The sequence below is a fragment of the Homo sapiens genome, chromosome 11, assembly GCF_000001405.40.
Source record: "Homo sapiens chromosome 11, GRCh38.p14 Primary Assembly".
NCBI classification, from domain to species: Eukaryota; Metazoa; Chordata; class Mammalia; order Primates; family Hominidae; genus Homo; species Homo sapiens.
The window spans coordinates 64,325,050-64,340,825 of record NC_000011.10 but is presented as its reverse complement, the minus strand read 5'-3'; the positions used below and the strand labels follow the sequence as shown (position 1 = coordinate 64,340,825).

The 15,776-nt window shown below is 51.1% G+C and overlaps 1 protein-coding gene and 1 long non-coding RNA gene across 4 annotated transcripts in view, besides 9 other annotated features; one reads left to right on the top strand and one right to left on the bottom strand.

The window, feature by feature from the left end:
• CCDC88B (coiled-coil domain containing 88B) overlaps nucleotides 1-622 on the bottom strand; it is a 17,331-nt gene extending 16,709 nt beyond the window's left edge. The window contains exons 1-2 of the mRNA NM_032251.6: nucleotides 500-622; nucleotides 74-219 (exon numbers count right to left, since the gene is read on the bottom strand). Of these exons, the coding sequence (NP_115627.6) occupies nucleotides 74-219; nucleotides 500-559 (206 nt within the window). The 5' untranslated portion in view covers nucleotides 560-622. The remainder of the gene's footprint in view (nucleotides 1-73; nucleotides 220-499) is intronic.
• Nucleotides 4-83: a silencer, noted in NCBI's record as "silent region_3478". NCBI's record gives its function as "represses an Ori minimal core promoter by ATAC-STARR-seq in GM12878 lymphoblastoid cells {active_cell/tissue: GM12878}" and the evidence as "EXISTENCE:reporter gene assay evidence [ECO:0000049][PMID:35858748]".
• Nucleotides 34-15,776, top strand: LOC102723878 (uncharacterized). Of its 3 annotated transcripts, NR_188518.1 has the most exons (4): nucleotides 34-285; nucleotides 748-926; nucleotides 13,290-13,342; nucleotides 15,495-15,776. It is a non-coding gene; the product is annotated as an uncharacterized LOC102723878 (long non-coding RNA). The 3 variants fall into 3 exon arrangements; NR_188520.1 differs by lacking the exon at nucleotides 34-285 and having other exon boundaries at nucleotides 671-926; NR_188519.1 differs by lacking the exon at nucleotides 34-285 and having other exon boundaries at nucleotides 671-2,487.
• Nucleotides 5,196-5,891: a transcriptional cis regulatory region, noted in NCBI's record as "candidate enhancer chr11.3041 targeted for multiplex CRISPR interference". NCBI's record gives its function as "positively regulates CCDC88B and MRPL49 gene expression in K562 cells {active_cell/tissue: K562}" and the evidence as "EXISTENCE:mutant phenotype evidence [ECO:0000015][PMID:30612741]".
• Nucleotides 5,196-5,984: a biological region, named in NCBI's record as "CRISPRi-validated cis-regulatory element chr11.3041". NCBI's record gives its function as "regulatory_interactions: CCDC88B | MRPL49".
• Nucleotides 5,320-5,379: an enhancer, noted in NCBI's record as "active region_4901". NCBI's record gives its function as "activates an Ori minimal core promoter by ATAC-STARR-seq in GM12878 lymphoblastoid cells {active_cell/tissue: GM12878}" and the evidence as "EXISTENCE:reporter gene assay evidence [ECO:0000049][PMID:35858748]".
• Nucleotides 5,484-5,984: an enhancer, noted in NCBI's record as "H3K4me1 hESC enhancer chr11:64102314-64102814 (GRCh37/hg19 assembly coordinates)". NCBI's record gives its function as "activates a minimal SCP1, AML or CMV promoter by ChIP-STARR-seq in primed H9 embryonic stem cells {active_cell/tissue: H9 hESC(primed)}" and the evidence as "EXISTENCE:reporter gene assay evidence [ECO:0000049][PMID:30033119]".
• Nucleotides 5,630-5,889: an enhancer, noted in NCBI's record as "active region_4900". NCBI's record gives its function as "activates an Ori minimal core promoter by ATAC-STARR-seq in GM12878 lymphoblastoid cells {active_cell/tissue: GM12878}" and the evidence as "EXISTENCE:reporter gene assay evidence [ECO:0000049][PMID:35858748]".
• Nucleotides 8,955-9,004: an enhancer, noted in NCBI's record as "active region_4899". NCBI's record gives its function as "activates an Ori minimal core promoter by ATAC-STARR-seq in GM12878 lymphoblastoid cells {active_cell/tissue: GM12878}" and the evidence as "EXISTENCE:reporter gene assay evidence [ECO:0000049][PMID:35858748]".
• Nucleotides 9,270-9,792: an enhancer, noted in NCBI's record as "H3K4me1 hESC enhancer chr11:64098506-64099028 (GRCh37/hg19 assembly coordinates)". NCBI's record gives its function as "activates a minimal SCP1, AML or CMV promoter by ChIP-STARR-seq in primed H9 embryonic stem cells {active_cell/tissue: H9 hESC(primed)}" and the evidence as "EXISTENCE:reporter gene assay evidence [ECO:0000049][PMID:30033119]".
• Nucleotides 15,334-15,486: a silencer, noted in NCBI's record as "fragment chr11:64092812-64092964 (GRCh37/hg19 assembly coordinates)". NCBI's record gives its function as "represses an EF-1alpha promoter that drives an FKBP-Casp9 reporter gene in an ReSE screen in K562 erythroleukemia cells {active_cell/tissue: K562}" and the evidence as "EXISTENCE:reporter gene assay evidence [ECO:0000049][PMID:32094911]".

The window sequence follows — 15,776 nt, the reverse complement described above, 5'->3', positions numbered from 1 at the left end:
ATCAGGCTCCGCCCACCCGCTTCCCCTCCTCTCAGATCCTTCCCCGCCACCGCCCCGGCCCGATGCCCCTTACATGATGCCCAGCACCCGGAGGAGCAGGGCCCCATCGCTGAGGCGCAGGAATCTCTTCTCCAACCAAAGGGGCGGCTCTTCCTCCTCTTCCTCTTCTTCCCCCTCCGAGTCCTCCGCCTCCCCGACCAGCCCGGCCAGTCCCAGCGCCTGTGAGGAGCCCAGAGGGGTCAGCCGACCAGCAGAGTGAACCCTGAGCCCCTCCGACCTGCCCCAGTGAGCCCAAGCACCCCTTCTCACCCGTCCTCTGAGTGCCTCTGTCCCCTCTTCCCTCACCACAGCCCCCCACACCATATCTCCATCCCCCACATTTGAACCCAGCCCTCCCCTCCGGCCTGGTTCTGCCTCACCCTCCCCCGGCCAGCGCCAACACCAGCCCCTGGCTGGGGCTCACTTCCCCTCCCCAACCCGCTGCCACCTGCCCCCTCACCCAGGTAGCCAGACTCCCACTCAGGAAGTCTCTGAGCCTGGGCCCCTTGCCCCCCTCCATGCCCGGGTCGGGGTGCCCGTCTCACTGTGGCAGCTGCACCTGCCCTGAGAGGAAGAGGAAGTCCCCGAGTGGGGGATCCCGGGGCCAGCCACAGACACCCTGTGCAGCTTCCTCCTTCCGGGTGCAGGCGGGCCTGGGCAGTCTGAGTCCTACCTCAGCCCCCACCTCACCTCCCTGCATCCTCCTAGCATCTCTGCAGGGCTAGCCCAGAGGTTGGCGGCGGAAGGCCCACAGCTCCCCTGGCTCCATGGGCAATGACCGAACAGCCCTTCACCTCTCTGGGCCTTGTTTTCTCAAACTGAAACTGGAGAGGATGACCCCAGCCTGGGACCTTCGAGGGCCTCAAAAGGGCTCTGGGCCTTGCGTGGTGAGTTTGGTCACCCACACACCCATCTTCCCAAATGCCAGGCTTCACTCACTACAGCGTTCTTTCTTTTCCCTTCAGTATTTCTCAAAGTTACCCAAACCACATCCCCTGGGAAGCCTGGTTCAGATGCTCCTCCAAGAAGCCTCCCTTGAACCCCAGATAGAAGGGAGCATCATTCCTGTGACCTCACCCCACCCCATCCTCTATACACTCGAGACTGTTGTAGCCATACTAGGTGCTATGAAGGGGAGGGGATTTGACCTCGGCAGGATGATCAGGGAAGGCATCCTGGAGTACGCATGAGATCAGGGATGGCTGGGTTAACAGGGCAAAGTGGAAAGGAAGGGAGGGTATTCCAGGCAGCAGGAACAGAATGTGCAACTGCTCTGAGGCAGCTGGAAGCATGGTCAGCAAAAAGATTGGAAATTATGCATGTTTTATCTATTCCAAGATGCTTAATGTTCACGTTTCACTTTTTGTTTTGTTTTGTTTTTAAGAGACAGAGTCTGAATCTGTGACCTAGTCTGGAGTGCAGTTGCAAGATCACAACTCGCTGCAACTTCAACCTCCTGGGCTTAAGCAATTCTCCTACTTCAGCCTTCTGAGTAACTGGGACTACGGGTGTGTGCCACCACACCTGGCTAATTATTTTGCTTGTTTTTTGTACAGACAGAGTCTTGCTGTGTTGCCCGGGCTGGTCTCGAACTCCTGGGCTCAAGTGATCCTCCCGCCTTGGCCTCCTGAAGGGCTGAGATGACGGCATGAGCTGCCTCACGCAGCCCCCATTCTACACCTCTGAAGTGAGTTTACATGGTACAGTTGCTGTCTGGCTAGCTGCCGTCCCAACATCACTGTCAGGACCCACACCTGAAAAGCACCAGCATCAAATCCTTCAGAAGAGTGTCAGCAGCTTGGAAGAAATCCTAGAGGCAAGCAGAACCCTTTTTAGCCCTGGGACTCAAATGGTGGGAAACCCCAGGGGAAGGGAACCAGGCTTGTCAGTGACACTCCCTTTTTTTTTTTTTTTTTTTTTTTGGTGAGACGGAGTCTCGCTGTGTCTGTCGCCTAGGCTGGAGTGTAATGGTGCAATTTCGGGTCACTGCAACCTCCGTCTCCCGGGTTCAAGCAATTCTCCTGCCTCAGCCACCTGAGTAGCTGGGATTATAGGCACCTGCCACCACGCCCAGATGCTTTTTTGTGTTTTTAGTAGAGACAGGGTTTCACCATGTTGGCCAGGCTGGTCTCGAACTCCTGACCTCAGGCAATCCACCCACCTCGGCCTCTGAAAGTGCTGGGATTACAGGTGTGAGCCACCACGCCCGGCCTGTCAGTGACACTCCTAGAGCAGAGTGAAAACTCGGCTCCACTTCATCTGCACAATTGTAAAGCTGGCTTAAGAGCGCCTGGCTGTTTTATGGAATGTTTGGAGCAGTACTGCTCTCCGTAGAACTCTCAAGGACTCAGAGAAGGAGGTGGCAGGCAGACACAGACATCACGACTCTCAGACCAAAAATGATTCAAACAAGTTGGACTCTAAATGTGAAGGAGTTTTCTGAACATGGTAACCAATTTATTTTGCTTCTATTATCCTTTTTATGTGTGCATGAGAATTATATATGATAAGAATCTACATTTAAGTGAAACAGAGCTCTTTCGAGAAATACAAAAGAAAAATTCTAGTGATGAAAGAACCTTGGGACATCGTTAACTGGCAGCATTCTCTTTTCTTAGTGACATTTTTATAATCGATGACATCTTAGTTTTTTTTTGTTTTTTGTTTTGAGACAGGATCTCTGTCACCCAGGCTGGAGTGCAGTGATGCAATCACAACACACTGTAGCCTCAACTTCCCTGGCTCAAGGGATCCTCCCACCTCAGCCTCCTCAGTATCTGGGACCACAGACATCCACCATCCACCCAACTAATTTTTGTATTTTTTGTAAAGATGGGGTTTCACCATGTTGCCCAGGCTGGTCTTGAACTCCTGATCTCAAGCAATCCGCTTGCCTTGACCTCCCAAAGTGCTGGGATTACAGGCGTGCACCACTACATCTGGCCAACATCTTAGATTTGATGAAATATGGCGTAATAATGACATCATAGCAAACACGGGCTTCCCTTGAGCTAGGCATGGTTGTAAGTGCTTTACACTTACTAACGTGTTGGCTCTGGACTAGTCTGTGAAATAAGGACTATGGATTATCTCCATTTTATAGAGGAGGGAACAGAGAGGTTAAGTAATTTGCCTAAGGTCACACAGCTTTTAAGTGGCAGAGCCAACTAAAAGAAGGCAGTGGGGCAAGAGTGCAAGGAGCAAGGGGCACCCATAGTCAAGGTGAGCTGGGCTTGACCAGGCCACAGGAAGCCATGCAGGATTGGTAGCAGAGGAGCACAGCCAGCTGTTCAGCCCTTTTGAAATACCTCTGGAAATGGGAGTGATCCTCTCATTGTTGCCAGAATTCCAGGCCTTGATGCCCAGCACAAGCCTTCATTAAATGTCCCTGGGGTGATTATTATTATTATTATTATTATTTTTGAGACAGAGTCTCGCCCTATCACCTACGCTGGAGTGTGGTGGAGCAATCTCGGCTCACTGCAGCCTCTATCTCCTGGGTTCAAGCGGTTCTTCTGCCTCAGCTCCCTACAGAGCTGGGATTACAGGCATGCGCTGCCATGCCTGACTAATTTTTCTATTTTTTTTAGTAGAGATGGGGTTTCACCATGTTGGCCAGGCTGGTCTCAAACTCCCGACCTTAGGTGATCTGCCCACCTCAGCCTCCCAAAGTGCTGGGATTACAGGTGTGAGCCACCACACCCAACCTGATTATTATCTTTAGTATTAATAATATCAAGGATCAAGGCCGGGCACGGTGGCTCACGCCCGTAATCCCAGCACTTTGGGAGGCTGAGGCGGGCGGATCACCTGAGGTCCGGAGTTCGAGACCAGCCTGACCAACATGGAGAAACCCCATCTCTACTAAAAATACAAAATTAGCCAGCCACGGTGGCTCACACCTGTCATCCCAGCTACTCGGGAGGCTGAGGCAGGAGAATCGCTTGAACCCAGGAGGCGGAGGTTGCGGTGAGCCGAAATCGCACCACTGCAATCCAGCCTGGACAACAAAAGGGAAACTCCATCTCAAAAAAAAAAAGAAAAGAGAGAAAGAGATCATGTCCTTCGTGGGACATGGATGGAGCTGGAGGCCATTATTCTTAGCAAACTAATGCAGGAACAGGAAACCAAACACCGCATGTTGTCCCTCATAAGTGGGAGTTAAATGATGAGAACACACGGACACAAAGAGGGGAACAACAGACACTGGGGCCTACTTGAGGGTGGAGGGTGGGAGGAGGGAGAGGAGCAGGAAAAATAACTATTGGATACTGGGCTTAATACCTGGGTGACAAAATAATCTGTACAACAAACCCCCGTGGCATGAGTTTACCATATAACAAAGCTGCATGTGTACCCCTGAACCTAAAATGTAAGTTTTTTTAAAATTCTATACCTGGCCAGGCACAGTGGCTCACGCCTGTAATCCCTGCACTTTGGGAGGCCGAGGTGGGTGGATCACCTGAGGTCAGGAGTTTGAGACCAGCCTGGCCAATATGGTGAAACCCTGTCTCTACTAAAAATACAAAAATTAGCCAGGCATGGTGGTGATGGATGCCTGTAGTCACTGGGGAGGCTGAGGCATGAGAATTGCTTGAACCCAGAGACGGTGACTGCAGTGAGCCGAGATCGGGCCACTACACTCCAGCCTGGGGGACAACAGCAAAACTCCGATATATATATATATATGTGTGTGTGTGTGTGTGTGTGTGTGTGTGTGTGTGTGTGTGTGTGTATGTATATATGTGTGTGTGTATATATATGTGTGTATATATGTATATATGTGTATATATGTATATATGTGTATATATGTATATATGTGTGTGTATATGTATATGTATGTATATATGTATGTGTATATATATGTATGTGTATATATATGTATGTGTATATATATGTATGTATATATATACTGAATTAAAAATACTAACCCTTCCTGAATCTTATTACTTTTTTATTTTACTTTTTTTTTGGGGTGGGAGGAGATGGAGTCTCACTCACTCTATTGCCCAGGCTGGAGTACAGTGGCGTGATCTTGGCTCACTGCAGTCTCCACCTCTGGCTTCAACCAATTCTCATGCCTCAGCCTCCCCAGGGACTACAGGCACCCATCACCACCACGCCCAGCTAATTTTTGTATTTTTTGTAGAGATGAGGTTTTCACCATATCGCCCAGGCTGGTCTGAAACTCCTGACCTCAAGTGACTCAGCCTCCCAATGTTCTGCGATTACAGGCATGAGCCACACCTGACCTAACCCTTCCTGAATTTTAATAAAGTATTTTATAATATTAAAATAATAATAATAATATCAAGCATCCGTCCACTCTGCAAAGCTTGTTCCTATTTGCATACCCACCCCCGCACGGGCATCCCTCAGGAGCACCTGTCCTGTGCGCGCCCAGCAGCTCCCACGGGGTTATCCAAGTGTGGTGACAGGGGCTCACCTCCTGGTGACTGAGGGCCTCTGTCTTGCTCAATATCTGAGTCACACCCTTCCTCAGGCCTTAGGGGCAGGGCCATGTCTCTATTGCTCTCACATCTGTCACTCCAGACAAGCCTGGCTGCACCTCCATCTGGTTATCTGACTCGCCTCAGCTGAGTCAGGCAGAGGGAATCTGTGGGGAGGAGGGGAGGCTGGAGAGGGGCTTTGCTCATCAGCTGACGCTGAGATCCGGGGATTCCAAGGCCCATTTAGGTGTTCAGGGGTGTTCTTTAAAGGGTGGAAGTGGTCCCTTTACCTTGGACTTTTCCCTTAAAATTTTTTTTCAGATACAGCACATGATCAAAAGTGTCAAGAATGAGGCCAGGTGTGGTGGCTCATGCCTGTAATCCAAGCATCTTGGGAGGCTGAGGCAGGAGGATCACTTGAGCCCAGTAGTTGGAGACCAGCCTGGACAATATAGCAAGACCCCATCTGTACAAAAACACTAAAAAACTAACTGGGCATGGTGGTGCGTGCCTGTGGTCCCAGCTACTTGGGAGGCTGAGGTGAGAGGATCCCTTGAGCCAGGAAGGTCAAGGCTGCAGTGAGTTGTGATCACACCACTGCACTCCAGCTTGGGCAATAGAGCAAGATCCTGTCTCAACAAAAAAACAATGTCGGCTGGGCGTGGTGGCTCACGCCTGTAATCCCAGCACTTTGGGATGCCAAGGCGGGCAGATCACCTGAGGTCGGGAGTTCAAGACCAGCCTGACCAACATGGAGAAACCCTGTCTCTACTAAAAATACAAAAATTAGCCAGGCTTGGTGGTGCATGCCTGTAACCCCAGCTACTTGGGAGCTTGAGGCAGGAGAATCGCTTGAACCCAGGAGGCAGAGCTTGCAGTGAGCCGCGATGGCACCATTGCACTCCAGCCTGGGCAACAAGAGTGAAACTCTGTCTCAAAAAAAAAAAAGAAAAAGAAAAACCAATATCCAGAGTACACAGAGTCCGGACACCATGGCTCACGCCTGTAATCCCAACACTTCGGGAAACTGAGGCGGGCAGATCACCTAAGGTCAGGAGTTCAAGACCAGCCTGGACAACATGGAGAAACCCCGTTTCTACTAAAAAATACAAAAAGTAGCCAGGTGTGATGGCAGGTGCCTGTAATCCCAGGCAGGGAGCTGAGGCATGAGAATCGCTTGAACCTGGGAGGTGGAGGTTGCAGTGAGCCGAGATTGCTCCCCTGCACTCCAGCCTGGAGGATAAAGGGAGACTCCGTCTCCAAAAAAAAAAAAAAATACATAAGAGTATAGAGAAAAAAATAAATTGTCTCCCATCCCTTCACCGGGTCCCCATCCCGTTTCCAAAGGCAATTTCTTGTGTCCTTCCTGAGGATACAAATGGCTGCATGTGTGAGCCTGTAACAAGTGGCTGCAACCACATACACAGCCACACACCTTCCTTGCTTCACAATGTATTTTGCAGTCCATTTCATTTCTGTTCAGAACCTTGACCTTTTTAACAGCTGTGTAGTATTTTACCACGTGGCTATCCCGTCATCATTTAAATAGCCTTCTGCTGACGGATATTTTAAATGTTTGCATATTTTGCTATGACTACAGTGCCATAATGACTGGCTTTCTCAGATATCTCTTCCTTGCAGCTTTTAAGGGGGCTCGGTGTCGGCTGGGCGCGATGGCTCATGCCTGTAATCCCAGCACTTTGGGAGGCTGAAGCGGGTGGATCATTTGAGGTCAGGAGTTTGAGACCAGCCTGGCCAACATGGTGAAACCCTGTCTCTACTGAAAATACAAGAATTAGCCAGGCATGGTGGTACATGCCTATAATCCCAGCTATTCGGGAGGCCGAAGCAGGTGGATCATTTGAGGTCAGGAGTTTGAGACCAGCCTGGCCAACATGGTGAAACTCCATCTCTACTGAAAATACGAAAATTAGCTGGGCATGGTGGTACATGCCTATAATCCCAGCTACTCGGGAGGCTGAGGCAGGAGAATTGCTTGAACTCGGGAGCCGGAAGTTGCAGTGAGCCAAGATCGTGCCACTGCACTCTAGCCTGGGTGATACAGCAAGACTCTGTCTCAAAAAAAAAAAAAGTAGGGGGGCTCATTGTCCACTGCTGCCCAGCATGGGGACCCCGGAGGTGGGCAAGAAGCTGAGAAAGACAGACAGACAGAGGGACAGCACAGTCAGCCTCTGTCTCCTCCCCAGGGAATCGGCTTCTCCATCCACACAGGCGGGGCTGGGAAGGACTCCATCTCCCAGTCCTCTTATAGGCTCTAATTTTGGGGGTTTTTTTGTTTTGTTTTATTTTGGTTTTTGAGATGGAGTTTCACTCTTGTCACCCAGGTTGGAGTGCAATGGCGCGATCTCAGCTCACTGCAACCTCCGCCTCCCAGGTTCAAGCGATTCTCCTGTCTCAGCCTCCGGAGTAGCTGGGATTACAGGCGTGCGCCACTACACCTGGCTAATTTTTGTATTTTTAGTAGAGACGGGGGTTTCACCACGTTGCAGGCTGGTCTGGAACCCCTGACCTCTCAGGTGATCCACCCGCTTCAGCCTCCCAAAGTGCTGGGATTACAGGTGTGAGCCACCACTCCCGGCCTGGGTTCGAATTTTTTAGCTAGCTCTGGTTCAGTCTCAAAGGCCAGAAGCAGGAGGGCTCTGGGGTTTGGGCGGAAGGGGAAGCCAAGGAGGCCAGGGCAGGTGGGGGCCCAGATCCAGCAAGAGCCCTGAGCCAACCAGAGCCAGGTCAGAGTGAGGCTTTCTCCCTGCTGCAGGCAGCCCCGGAGCTCCGCCTGGCACCCCAGCGGCCTGGCTGGGGCCCAGCTCTCTAAGCAGATAATTCAGGGCCCCAGTCTCAAAAAACAAAAAACAGCCTCCAAAGCCTTCTGGGCAGCTGACCCTCTGTTGCTAGATCTTCGGGGTCCCCCTCCTTCCCACCCAAGTGTCTGAGAAGGGGTCGTCTCCCCACCCACCACTTGAGGGTGAAATAGTGGAGGTGGAGTTAGCAGTAATGCCCAGGGGAGTGGTCCCAAAGAGCTACCCAGGTGGCAGGAGGCAGTGGGAAGCCAGAGCCAGGAAGGGTGGGGCCCAGGGCCATTTGCCCAGTGCCCGTCCAGGTGCCCCGTGACTCAGAGTGCAGCCTGCGCGGCCTGGGGTCCCGCTACTGTAGAGTGAGGCCCGGCCCAGCCCCCACTACCTGACACCAGGCCGGCTCTCCCTTCCTGTTCTCCCCGGGCACTCCCATGCTCCAGGGGGGCACTTGCTGTGCCTCACCCTGTGCCTCCAAGCCATGCTGGGGTGCAGGCACGAATCCTCCTCCAGGGGGCATCCACCCAGCACTGAAGGAGTCATTCAGAAACTGCCTGGCTCACGGCCATGCCGGGCTTAAAGCTCTCCAGTGGCTTCTCCCTGAGTTGACTCAGCAGCTCACCATGACCTTCAAGGCCGTGGAGAGGTGCCGCCTCACCACCCTGACCTCATCCTTCCTCCTCTCCTCCACTCTGGCCACGCTGGTTCCTCAATCGCTCTCCCCCACTCGGCACCTTTGCATCGCCGACCACTCAACTTGGAGCTCAACATGTCTGAGTCACACACTCCCCAACTCCCTACACACACACATTCACACATGCTCACACGCATGCACATTCACACATGCTTACACACATTCACACATGCTCACACACATTCACACACACACACGCACACACACACACACCCTTTCCCCTTATCCCATACTGGTCTCTCAAATGTCCCTTTCTCAGAAAAGTCCTTTCATGACCTGGCATGGTAGCTCACACCTGTAATCCCAGCACTTTGTGAGGCTGAGGCAAGAGGATTGCTTGAGCCCAGGGGTTCAAGACCAACTTGGACAACATGGTGAGACCTCATCTCTACAAAAAAATCCAAAAATTAGCCTCACATGATGGAGCACACCTGTCATCCCAGCAACAAGGGAGGCTGAGGCAGAAGGATCACTTGAGCCCAGGAGTTCAAGGCTACAGTGAGCTGTGATCACACCACTGCACTCCAGCCTGGGTGACAAAGTGAGACCCTGTCTCAAAAAACAAAAGAAAAGAAAAGTCCTTTCTCTTGTAAAGCAGCCCCCATCCTCCTCCCACAGCAGGGTTCCACTCCATGCACCCGGCACCTTCGCGTGCTTGCTTTGCCTGCTCCCCTGTCAAGTGGAAGCCATCATGGGCTCACCCATGACTGCAGTGCAGAGAGCGCAGTGCTGAGCCCACTGGGTCCATGAGAGCACCGATGTCCGCTGCCCACTGATCTCTGCTGGGCTCCATTCTAAGCACTTCCCACATCTCAATCACTTAATCCCCTCCTCAGCTGCAAAATACAGGAGCTGGCCGGGCGCGATGGCTCACACCTGTAATCCCACCACTTTGGGAGACCGAGGTGGGCAGATCACAAGGTCAGGAGATCAAGACCACGGTGAAATCCCGTCTCTACTAAAAATACAAAAAAAAAAAAAAATTAGCCGGGCACGGTGGCGGGCACCTGTAGTCCCAGCTACTCGGGAGGCTGAGGCAGGAGAACGGCGTGAACCCGGGAGATGGAGCTTGCAGTGAGCCGAGATTGCGCCACTGCACTCCAGCCTGGGCGACAGAGAGACTCCATCTAAAAAAAAAAAAAAAAAAATGCAGGATCTATTGGTTATCCCCACTTTACAATGAAAAAAATTGATGCCCAGAGAGGTTAAGTCACTTGCTTAAGGCCACACAGCCAGGAAGTGGCAGAGCCAAGATACTGAAGGCAGTTTTTTTTTTTTTTTATGTTTTTGAACAAATGAACTCTTATTTCAGAGGCCAGGAAAGTGCAGCTCAGAAGGGAATGGGGGCAAGTAGGGCAGCTGAGGCTGAAATCTCAGTCCTCCTCTGGCGCTAAGAGCTCGCAGTCTCCCAGCCCCACTCTACCCACAACCCCACCCCACCCTCCACCCCCTGCTCCCCGCCACCTCCTCCACTCCATTCCTTTGTATTTTGTTTTGTTTTGTTTTGTTTTGTTTTGTGTTTTTGGAGACAGAGTCTTGCTCTTACCCAGGCTGGAGTGCAGTGGCTCGATCTCAGCTCACTGCAACCTCTGCCTCCTGGGTTCAAGCAATTCTCCTGCCTCAGCCTCCCACATAGCTGGGATTACAGGCAAGCGCCACTACGACCGGCTAATTTTGTATTTTTAGTAGAGACAGGGTTTCTCCATGTTGGTCAGGCTGGTCTCGAACTCCCGACCTCAGGTGATCCACCCGCCTCGGCCTCCCAAAGTGCTGGGATTACAGGCGCGAGCCACTGCACCCGGCTCCACTCCACTCCTTGTTGCTGTCGGGTGGGACAGCAAGGCTGGAGCCCAGCATCCAATTAGGAAACAAGGTGGAAATCCAGGGCCAAGCCCCATGGCTGCCAGTTGCCCTCGTAATTAAAGACACACACATTAAAGACAGCTCCGAGGTGCCATTAAACATCCATTAAACTGGCAAAAAATAAATCCAAAAGGTAAAACTCAACTCTAGTTGGCAACTGCAGCAGAGAACACAGCACAGGTCACAGGTGGCTCAGAGGCAACAGCCCTCACACCTGGCTCCCTGTCCCTGCCCTGAATTGTTCCATGTGGGAACTGGGCCACACTGGTCAGCTTCATCAAAGATAGATTTGCCAAATTGGCATACAATTCACATGTCATAAAATTCACTCTCTAAAAGCGTACAAGTCAGCACGGTCTCAGAATTTCCTGAGACCAATAAAACCTCCGGAGCCCTTTGACCCAGCACTCCAGCGTTTGGGAATAAGCCCTGTAGAAGGAGCCCAAGAGGAAACAAAAATAGAAGTGTGTCCAAAGCTGGAAGCTGCCCCAGCCAAACACTGGAAACACCCAGCTCTCCACCAAGATAAACCACGCGAGCCACAGCTTGCGGGCAATATCCCATCTCCATCCTCACCACTGCTCAGCCCAGACCTCCCTCATCTTCCTGGCCTGCAGACCTTAGCAGTGGCTGTTCCCACCCCTGGAACACCCTTCCCACCTGGTACCTGATGCCTGCAGGGCCCATGCACGGCATATTCACTGCTGTATCCCCAGAGCCTCGCACAGTGCCTGGTGCAGAGATGATTTTCAGCAAAGAGGCACTGAAGGGAAGATACCTATGTGACTGTGAGGAGACACAGGTGAGCAAGTGGAACCTCTGAACACCTGATTGGGCCACTCATAATGACATGAGAATTGCAATGCTCAGAGGAGAAAAGCAGCTTCTTTTGGTGAGAAGTCACTGAGATTAAAGATCTGTCTTAGGGTCGGGCATAGTGTCTCATGCTTGTAATCCCAGCACTTTGGGAGGCCAAGGCAGGAGGATCACTTGAGCAGAGGAGTTTGAGACCAGACCAGGCAACACAGAGAGACTTTGTCTCTACCAAAAAAAATCAAAAATTATCTGAGCATGGTGGTTCATGCCTGTAGTCCCAGTTACTAGGGAGACTGAGGCAGGAAGATCACTTGAACCCAGGAGGTAGAGGCTGGTGGTGAGCCGAGATCGTGCCACTGCACTCCAGCCTGGGTGACAGAAGGAGACCCTGTCTCAAAAAAAAAAAAAAAAAAAAAAGGCCGGGAGGCCTTTGGGAGGCCAAGGCGGGCGGATCACGAGGTCAGGAGATCGAGACCATCCTGGCTAACACGGTGAAACCCCGTCTCTACTAAAAATACAAAAAATTAGCCGGGCATGGTGGCGGGCGCCTGTAGTCCCAGCTACTCAGGAGGCTGAGGCAGGAGAATGGCATGAACCCGGGACGCGGAGCTTGCAGTGAGCCGAGATTGTGCCAGAGCAAGACTCCATCTCAAAAAAAAAAAAAAAAAAGATCCGCCTGTGCCTTAGTGGTGATGGTTGCACAACTCGGTGAATATATTGAAAACAACCGACTTGTACACTTTAAAAAAAAAAAAGAGACAAGGTCTCATTATATTGCCCAGACTGGTCTCAAACTCCTGGACTCAAGTAAGCATCCCCCTTCACCCCCACAAAGTGCTGGGATTACAGGCATGAGCCACCATGTCTAGCCTTTGTACAATTTTACAGGCTGAATTTTATGATATGTGAATTGTATGTCAATTTGGCAAATCTATCTTTGATGAAGCCGAACCATGTGGCTCAGTTCCCGCAGAAACTAATTCAGGAAAGGGACAGGGAACCAGGAAAGAGGGCTGTTGTCCTCAGCAGTGAAACTGACTTGGGGCCCTGAAGGTTAGAGTGATCTGGGCAGGGGCATCCCAGCGGGGAACATTGTCTGGTAGATGCTGAAAGGGAAGAGATTGGAGGACCCACAATTGGGAATCAGGGTGACTTTGGTGACCAAGGTTGCAGGGAATGGGGACAGAGGCTTGGAGAGAAGTCACTGGGGAGATGAGGGGACCACACGTGGATCTGGGCCAGCTTCGTATTAACCATGCCCTTCCATGGCTGACAGGAAAGGCAGGGAAGTGGGCATCTCCTGGGAAGCATGGAACCTCAAAGGTCCCTCTTCTCAGAGGTGATCCCTGTGTGGCCACACTGCTTGCTGTCCACCCAATATCCTTTCTCTCTCTCTCCCTGACTAAAAAAACTCATAATTTTTAATTTAGACACATGGCACCCTGGAATGAAGTTGATACTTCTCAGCTTCCTTTGCAGCTAGTATGACCATGTGACTAAGTTCTGTCCAGTGAGATGTAAGTGGAAGGGATATATGACAGCTTCCAGAAAAAGCTTCTTGACAGACAGCTGGCATGGGCCTTTTATCTTCTGTTCTTCATTTCCTCCTTCCTGCAGGCTGGACGATGAATGTGATGGCTGGAACTCAAGCAGCCACAGTGGATCATAAGGTAAAGACGTGTTTAAAATGGCAGAGCAGCAAGACAGAAGGAATAATCACACAGCTAGCATACTAGCTCAACCTCTCTAGTGCATACCTGTGAGCTAAGCCTTTGTTTTTTTGTTGTTGTTGTGTTGTTTTGTTTTGAGATGGAGTTTTGCTCTTGTTGCCCAGACAATGGCACAATCTCGGCTCACTGCAATCTCCACCTCCCAGGTTCAAGCGATTCTCCTGCCTCAGCCTCCTGAGTAGCTGGGATTACAAGCATGCACCACCACGCCCTGCTAATTTTGTATTTTTAGTAGAGACGGGGTTTCTCCATGTTGGTCAGGCTGGGCTCGAACTCCGGACCTCAGGTGATCCGCTCACCTCTGCCTCCCAAAGTGCTGGGATTACAGGCGTGAGCTACCACGCCTGGCCTTCACTTCTTTACTCCTTCCCAAAACGTGTTAAGTATTATCTGTGTTTCCCACCCTGAGCAGGGCTCCTTACCTGTGTTAAGTAAAAAGACATGATTCCCAACTCCAGGAGTGCGAGTTGATGATACAAATATAATCACATGGCAGGCCAATATGCATGCTCGTTAACACCAAGAATCTGTGCCTTCGCATAGATGTTACCTGAACTTCTCCAGAAGTTATACCCATGCACACTTTGCACTATCTGCTGTCACTTCTCAATGCCTGTGTCACCAAACCCCAACCACGCCCAGTAGAGTGTGTCCCTTTGGGGCCAGCAGCCTCCACTGCCCCTGATCACAGCACCTTCATGGCTGCAGCCCAAGCCTGATCTAGGCCAGGAACACCAGGACCCCTCCAACCTTTTCTTTGTCTCAGAAACCCAGACTTGACTCCCTTAGGGCCTATTGAAAACTCCCCCGATAGGCCAGGCGCGGTGGCTCACACGTATAATCCCAGCACTTTGTGAGGCTGAGGCGGGCAGATCACGAGGCCAGGAGTTCAAGACCAGCCTGGCCAACATAATGAAACCCCATCTCTACTAAAAAATACAAAAAGTAGCCGGGCATGGTGGCACGCGCCTGTAGTCCCAGTTACTCAGGAGGCTGAGGCACAAGAATCGCTTGAACCCGGGAAGCGGAGGTTGTGGTGAGACTCATTCTGTTGCCCAGGTTGGAGTGCAATGGCGTGATCTCGACTCACTGCAACCTCTGCCTCCCAGGTTCAAGTAATTCTCCTGTCTCAGCCTCCCAAGTAGCTGGGACTACAGGCATGGCACCACCATGCCTGGCTAATTTTGTATTTTTAGTAGAGATGGGGTTTCACCATGTTGGCCAGGCTGGTCTCAAACTCCTGACCTCAGGTGATCCGCCCACCTCAGCCTCCCAAAGTGCTAGGATTACAGGCGTGAGCCACCATGCCTGGCCTGATTTTTATCTTTCAAATAACCTTTTATTGAGCCTTTTTTTTTTTTTTTTTTTTTTGAGGCAGGGTCTTGCTCTATTACCCAGGCTGGAGTGCAGTGGCATAATCATAACTCACTGCAGTCTTGGCCTCCTGGGCTCAAGTGATTTTCCCAACTCAGCCTCTGGAGTAGCTCGAACTATAGGCACGTGCTACCACACCCACCCAATTATTTTATTTTTTTGGTAGAGACGGGGTGTCACTAATTTATTTTTATTTAGTTGTTTTTGTTTTGGGTTTTTTTTTTTTTGAGACAGAGTTTGGCTCTTGTTGCCCAGGCTGGAGTGCAGTGGTGAGATCTTGGCTCACCAAAACCTCCGCCTCCCAGGTTCAAGTGATTCTTCTGCCTCAGCCGCCCGAGTAGCTGGGATTACAGGCATGAGCCACCACACCTGGCTAATTTTGTATTTTTAGTAGAGACGGGGTTTCTCCATGTTGGTTAGGCTGGTCTCGAACTCCCGACCTCAGGTGATCCGCCCACCTCAGCCTCCCAAAGTGCTGGGATTATAGGTGTGAGCCACCACACCCGGCCTATTTTTATTTTTTTAGAGACAAGGTCTCGCTCTGTCACCCAGGCTGGAGGGTAGTGGCACGATTATAGCTCACTAACTGTAGTTAGTCACCAACTCCTGGTGTCAAGCGATCCTCCCGCCTCAGCCTCCTGAGTAGCTACGACCACAGGCATGCACTACGACAACTTATTTATATATTTACTTATTTATTTATTTATTTATTTTGTAGGGACGGTGTCTTGCTATGTTGTCCAAGCTGGTCTCAAACTGGCCTGAATCAATGCTTCCACCTCAGCTGCCAGAGGAACCGGGATTACAGGCCTGAGCCACTGCAGCCAGCCAGTTTGTTATTTTAATGTAAATTCTTAGTAAACAACTCAGGAGCTCTCTTGTCCTTTTAAAATCCATTTCAACTTCTGCTAATCGGAGTGTATATTCAGGGCAACTTGAATCTGTGCTCCTGGGATGCAATCCTCAAGCTTGGCCCAAATAAAGTCTCCGCTGATATTAA